The sequence below is a fragment of the Homo sapiens genome, chromosome 5 (genome assembly GCF_000001405.40).
Source record: "Homo sapiens chromosome 5, GRCh38.p14 Primary Assembly".
NCBI lineage: Eukaryota > Metazoa > Chordata > Mammalia > Primates > Hominidae > Homo > Homo sapiens.
The window spans coordinates 13634684-13642087 of NC_000005.10; the positions used below are offsets into that span (position 1 = coordinate 13634684).

At 37.4% G+C, this 7404-nt stretch overlaps 1 pseudogene; it reads right to left on the minus strand.

Moving 5' to 3' along the window:
• RPL29P13 (ribosomal protein L29 pseudogene 13) lies at positions 3118-3704 on the minus strand (annotated as a pseudogene).

Sequence of the window (7404 nt, forward strand, 5' to 3'; positions counted from 1 at the left end):
CCCAGTCTCAGGTATATCATTATCAGCAGTGTGAAAAATGGACTAATACAAGGACCATCTGGGAGGACCCTGTCTCGTACTAGTCCAGAATGAAATTTTTATTTCTATGTATGTTTTATTGTTTAGGATGTAAATGTACATCTGAATTTCCCGCAACCCCTTTTCTTTTTTCTGCATTTGTGGTTTTGTTCTGAATTTTAACCAACTTTATTCACTATAGTAGTTTCTTTTAACTCTCAATTGGAAGGTTCTGGGACATTAAACAAAACAAAACAAAATGAAAAAGTCTCTTTTAAAAATATTATTTTATTGAGCTATTTGCTGCACTTATTTTACACACAGCATGATGATTACTTTCTCAGGCTTTTTTTCTTTCCTTTCTTTCTTTTTTTCTTTTTTGTTTGTTTAGCAATAACTAGATAAGATATCTTTAGGAGACAGGCATAGACACCCAATACTAAATGCCTAGCATGTTTGAGGGAGTTTCCAGACCATTTGTGACACCACATAATAATAAAACGTTTTCAATAACTGGCACAATTTTGAAATGAAAATTGAGATTGGTGTTAAATTTTAAAAGCAATTTTGTTTGGAAATATTAGTTTAGTCTGCAAAGAAACATCAAAACATACAGCTAAAGGGACTAACAGGCTTTGAAGTTTTAGCAATAGACTGTGAACATGTCTCATTCTTTTATTTTTCTTTCCTCCCTTTTCTTTCTTCCTTCCTTTTTTCCTTCCTTCCTTCTTTCATTGCTTCCTTCTGATATATATGAAAGATAGAATAGTTAGCCAAACAGTCATATTCTCTGCCCTCATTGGTCTATAGTCCAATGAGGCAATCAGAGATTAAGCAAATAATTGCACAAATAAATGTAAAATTTTAAAGGAGATATAAATATAAGAGCATCTGACAAGGAATTTGATGTAGTCAGAGGGTCAAATGACAGGTTTCAGTGCCTTTTAGACATCCAAGAAGAAAGGTTACATAGGTGATTGGTTATATGGTTAAAGTCAAAAAATGGGTTGTTGCACATTACTGCTGGGAATGTAAATTGGTAAACCCTTATGAAAAACAGTATGCAGGTTGCTCAAAGAAATAAAAATAGAACAACCATATGATCCAGCAATCCCACTACTAGGTATATATCCAAAGGAAATAAAATCAGTACGACAAAGAGATACCTGCAACCCCATGTTCACTGCAGCATTATTCACAATAACCAAGATGTGGAGCCCACCTAAGTGTGCACCAATGGATGAATGGATCAAGAAGATGTTGTATACCTACAATAGAAAACTATGCCCATTTTATTTTATTTATTTATTTATTTTGCTCAGAGCTTTGTATGTATTGCTCATTTTTTTTTATTTTTTATTATACTTTAAGTTTTAGGGTACATGTGTACAACGTGCAGGTTTGTTACATATGTATACATATGCCATGTTGGTGTGCTGCACCCATTAACTCGTCGTTTAACAGTAGGTGTATCTCCTAATGCTATCCCTCCCCCCTCCCCCCACCCCACAACAGGCCCCGGTGTGTGATATTCCCATTTTAAAAAGAAGGAAATCCTGTCATTTGTGATAATATAGATGAACTTTGGGGACAATATGTTATGTGAAATAAGCCAGGCACAGAAAGACAAATACCACATGATCCCACTTATATGTGGAATTTTTTTAAGTTGAACTTATAAAAGTAAAGTATAATGGTGATTATCGGGGATTTTTCAGAGGGAGGTGAGGGTGTTGGAATGATATTGGTCAAAGCTTACAATATTTTAGTTAGATAAGAATAAGTTCAAGAGGTCTACTGTACAAGATGGTAATTATCATTAATAACAATGCAGTGTATTCTTGAAAATTGCCAAAAGTAAGTATTAGGTGTTCTCATCACAAAAAAAAGTTTATGAAGTAATGCATGTGTTGATAAGCTCAATGTAGCCCCTCCACAAAGTATACATTTTCAAAACATCATGTTTTACATAATAAATACATATAATTTTTATTCATCAATTTAAAATTTTAACTAATTAGTTTTAAAATAGATGAGTTGTAGGTAATGATTGTGGTTAATAGATTGATTACAGCCTAAAACTATTCTGATCGACAGGTGTTTCCTTTAAACTATGAATGTGGATAGCCTGGATGAAGTTCATTCCTTCAAGTAATGATTACTAAGCATGTGGCACTATGGTAGATATATATGTAGTTCTGGGCATTAGAAAAAAATAAAGATAAAAGAAATATCTTTCTCTTGTATTTAATTAGACCAACCTGGTCATTAGTCTAATTGAAAAGGCAAGATAGATATGCTTGGAACAGTTAAGTAGAAAGCCCTACATAATTCAAAGCCAAAATGAGAATTGAGGTAAAAGCTGATGGGAAGTCCAAAGGCAATCAAAGGCTCCACGCAGAGGGTTAGGAATGGAGAAGAGAGAAAGGGAAGAGAAAGAGCTTCCAGTGAGGGAATAGCTATACCAAAGCACATATCTGCATAGAAAGTAGAGAGCCTGGAAAGACAGTGGTAGCTAAGCCAATTCGGTTAGAGAGTTAGTAGAGATGTTGATTGGAGCCAACATCAAAGGGTAGGGTCTGTGTATGCATATAGGTGTCTAGGTGTATGGGCATATACATGTATATGTGTGTATTAGGCTGATTTTTGTGTTAGGCTGTGGTTTTTGCCATACTTTTAATGGCAAAACTGCAATAACCTTTGCACCAACCTAATAAATATATATGTACATCATGTATACGTATTATCTGTTAATTAGTACATAAGACTCCAAATACTTTAAAAATGTAGCCAAGACTGAGACTCATAGGTTGAGAATAGGTAAGAATTTGAGCCAAACTTTATAGAATTTAGAAATTGAGAAGATAAATAAAACTGAATAGCTCACCACACAAACACACCTTCTCTCTTGGTGTTCTCCATCACCCTTTGCCCAGCACTGTGGGTAAAGAGAAGAAAGCTATTGCTTATTATCACTGACTGTCATTCAAGTCACCTCAAAGGCTTAGAAAAAGCTGCCAGTAGTTCGAATGTCCTAATATCTGCTATTTAGTTGTTTTTTGTTGTTGTTTTTTGGTTTGTTTAGTTGGTTTTTTTTTTTCCTGCCTCAGGTTTATTTGTACAAATAGCACAGGAGAATCCCAGCCCCATGCAGACGGTAGCCCGGGGGGGTCACACCAGTCCTTCTGTCCTCACGTTGGCAGACAGAGATCTCTACTCTGAAGCCTTTGTAGGGCCCTGGGCACCTCTGGGAGCCTGAGCTGGAACTGAAGCTGGAGCTGCAGCCAGGGCCTTGGTTTGATCCTTGGCCTTGGCCTTTGGCTGGCATAGCCTGAGCCCCTTGGCAATGCGGGCACGAGCACGCTTCCCAAGCTTGGGGTGGGCAATGTAGGCAAGTCGATCTAGCTTGCAGCTGACACCCTTTGGGGTCTTAGGCTCAACCTCTTTGGGCTTTACGAGGATCTTGATAGCCTCAGCGCGTGCACTCATGGCCTTGGCATTGTTGGCCTGCATCTTCTTTAGGCCCTTCTTGTGCTTCTTGGCAAAGTGCATGTTGCTCAGGAACTTGGGGTCCACCCTCTTAAGAGAGTCATATCTTTGTGATCGGGGTTTCTTGATACCGTTTCTGTGCCATTTTCAGGACTGGTTGTGTGTGGTGTGATTCTTGGTCTCCGCCATGTCTGCACATTTGAGACAGGGTCTTGCTCTGTCGTCCAGGCTGGAGTGCAATGGTGTGATCTGGGCTCACTACAACCTCCACCGTCTGGTTCAAGCAATTCTCCCACCTCAGCCTCCCAAGTAGCTGGCATTACAGGTGCGCCACAACGCCTGGCTAACTTTTGTATTTTTTGGTGGAGATGGGGTTTCACCATGTTGCCCAGGCTGGTCTCGAACTCATGACCTCAAGTGATCTGCCCAACTCAGCCTCCCAAAGTGCTGGGATTACAGGTGTGAGCCACCATGCCAGGACTGCTGTTTAGTTTTAACTTAACCCTATAAAGAAGAGGGAAATCTCATCACTCTCTATGTATGCCTGAATAAACTTGGAAAAAAAATATATGTAGGCAGTACATATGAGCAACACCATCCAGCCACTGCCAAATGAAGAATAAAATCTTGGAAATGCTTCTAGTTGTATTAAAATGCCTTTGTCATCATAGAAATAATCTATCATTAGGGAAAGTCTTTTGATATCATAAGTAGAAAATGAAAATGCATTTGCTTTGTTGATAGCTCTTAAAATATGGGCTTTTTTGTTATTGTATTGCCCGTCACCACCCCTCTCAGGCTATAACCAACTCAAATTATCACAGAAGTAAACAAGGTAGAAGGCTTTTCTTAAACAAATGATTCTTGAAAATACACTTAAGTAATTGTACTTAAGTACAATTTCTTAATTTTTTTTCTTTTTCTTTGTTGCATTAACCAGCCCCTTTCCCTTTGTTTCACAAAAATAGAGCCAACCTTACAAAAAGGAAAAGATGCAAATGCTTAGAAAAAGCAGTATATAATCTCTCTGAGCATGGGCTCTTCCTCTGCAAGACAAGGCAGTGTGTCTTAATACTGGTCCAGTGTCTATCATAACCAGGTGGGGCTCCAAGCATCTCATGTCTAGCACCTCAGTCACCCCTTACCACTATGAAGTGGCCATCCTCCTGTTCCAGTTTGGACCACTGGCCCCCAGTCAGATGGTCCCAAAGCTCCTGAGGACAAAACAAAGGTTCAAAGGCAGGCACTTTGGCACCAGCATCTGTGCTGTTAACCACTATGCTACACTGTCCTATAAAACATGCCAAGCCTAGCTCCTAGGATTCTCCTGCAGACCAAATGGGACAAATTATATAAAGCACTTAATACTTTGTAAGGAGATATAAAAAGTAAGTTAATAATTTGATGATCCCGGGGGAAATGAAACATCCTAGGCTAATATTACTGATGACTTACTATCCCAAGATTTTCACTAAAGTGTTGCCTGATTTGGCACATCAGATAATTGTGCAGAAAACAGGAGGGTTTTGCATGTTTCATGGTACCATAAAATATTATTACTGACCTTGTGTCTCAACATGAGTAAAGTCAAGTCTTGATAATATGCAATACCTTATAGCTGTGGTGTTCTAGTTATAATTACACATAAAAACTATAACTTATTTTGAAATGTTGTCATACAAGCTCAGAATATAAAATTGTTATTTAAAGTCATTCTATATTTTAGGTTAGGTATGTATTATATTTAGTGCACTGTCATTTCCTGAAAAATTCTGAAATATTTTTGAATATAATTCATTTGAAAAACTATACTGTTGGGATTATCAAAACTAATTGTTTAATCTTAAACCTAGGCTTACTCTATCAGTTAAGAAACATAGGCATTCAAATGTGTACTTTTATCATTACTCCTTTCCCAATGTTTTTCCTCATTTGCTTATAAATCACAAGAATATTATAGAATCATATGACAATATAAATGTTAGAAATTGTTCTGTATTAATATAAAGCATCACAATTTTCATTATCACTATTATTAACATAATTATATATAATATATAATTTGATACCCATGAAATTGTCATTCTTGGATTTCAGAAGCTTTTTATTTTTTTCATTTATGTAATGTTTTAGAAAAATATTTTATTTTCTTCTCTTGCTAGAACCTCGTTAAATCCATCAAAGTGACTTGTACTTGGTTAATCATTAGTTTAGTAAGCAAGAACTTTGTGTGAAAAGTTGTGGAATGCCTAATGGTATGCAATCGAAAGGCCACCTCATGCAATGTGGCAACACTGACAAAAATCTTAAAGGTACACTGTCCTAAATCCCCTCCTGGGAGGTTCTTACCTAGGTCCTTTCCCTCCATCAGTGGGTGATCCTTGGGTAATCACAAACATCTAAGAAAATGAATAACCCAAAATTCTAACACACTGATGATTTGAAAGGATATGGTATATCATAATTGTTTCAAGAGTTGAATATTGATATTTATATTTAGATAAATAACATGATAAATATAAATAAATATTGATATGCTAATATTTATTGTATTTAAGATATTTAAAAGGATGAAGTAGTACTTAAAACAAATTGATTAAGTACTAACAATGTGTCAGCTACTCTGCTGAGGGTTTTGTGTACATTACAGTTAGAAAGAAAGGAAACGTATTCAGCTGAACATACAAGGTGTTTATGTGGAGCCAGGGATTAGATGGTGATATCATTTGGATGTGTGCCCCTGCCCAAAACCATGTTAAGCTGTAATCCGCAGTGTGGGAGGTGGGGCCTGGTGGGAGGTAATTGGATCCTAGGGGTGGAGTTCTCCTGAATGATTTAGCGCCATCCCTTCGGTACTGTCCTCGGGTAGAGAGTGAGTTCTCTCAAGATCTAGTTGTTTAAAAGTGTGTGGCACCTCCCTTCTATTCCCCCCAACCCCTGCCCTGCTGTCTCACTCCTGCTCTGGCCATGTAATGTGTCTGCTCCTCCTTCGCCTTCTGCCATGATTGTAAGTTTCCTGAGGCCTCCCCAGAAGCTGAGCAGATGCCAGCATCAAGCTTCCTGTACAGCCTGCAGAACCAGGAGCCAATTAAACCTCTTTTCTCTATAAATTACCCAATCTCAGGTATTTATGTATAGCAGTGTGAGAACAGGTTAATACGGATGTGATATTAGGAACCTGGGTCAAATTTTATAGTATTCAATGATAGTTCATTCTAGGAAGCTAAGAATGCTCTGTTTGGCTTTTCCCCCTGAGGTTAATGATAAGTAATAGGGTAGAAATGGAAGTCACTTTATTAATAGCAGGCCACCATCTGATACACTCCCAGAGTAGAATTCCTGGTGAGGTTGGACAGGAGCCCATAGCTCAGGCTAGAAGTCTAACAAAGCCACAGTTTCCCCCTAGATTTCTGGATTGCTGTAATGACAGGTACAGTAAGGCACAGATATGAAAAAAGGAGAGAGAAGAGAGGGAACAGGCTCCAAGGGAAATAGCCCAGTCACCAGTATCACAGAGTATCAGCCAAAGACACACAGATGAGCCACTCCTACATGAAGCACTAAAGGATAACATTTATAAAAATATAAATGTATGACATATAGTAAAAAAAGGCAAAATTTTCCAGATATCCCTGGTTATTTGCATCTATTCATGACTATATGTAGACAGTGGGATTATGGATATTTTTAATTTTCTTAATTATTTGCTAATCTTCTTATAATGAAATTGTAGTGATTTGAATTGAGAATCAATATTTTTAACCTGAATCTTTTTTTAGAAAGCCATTGAACAATTTAGATGTCTCTTGGAAGTTTATGTTTGTTTTATCTAAATATGCTCTGTGGGAAGCCCTAGGCCAGATATTTAATTCATGTAGTACTCACGATAATTTGTGC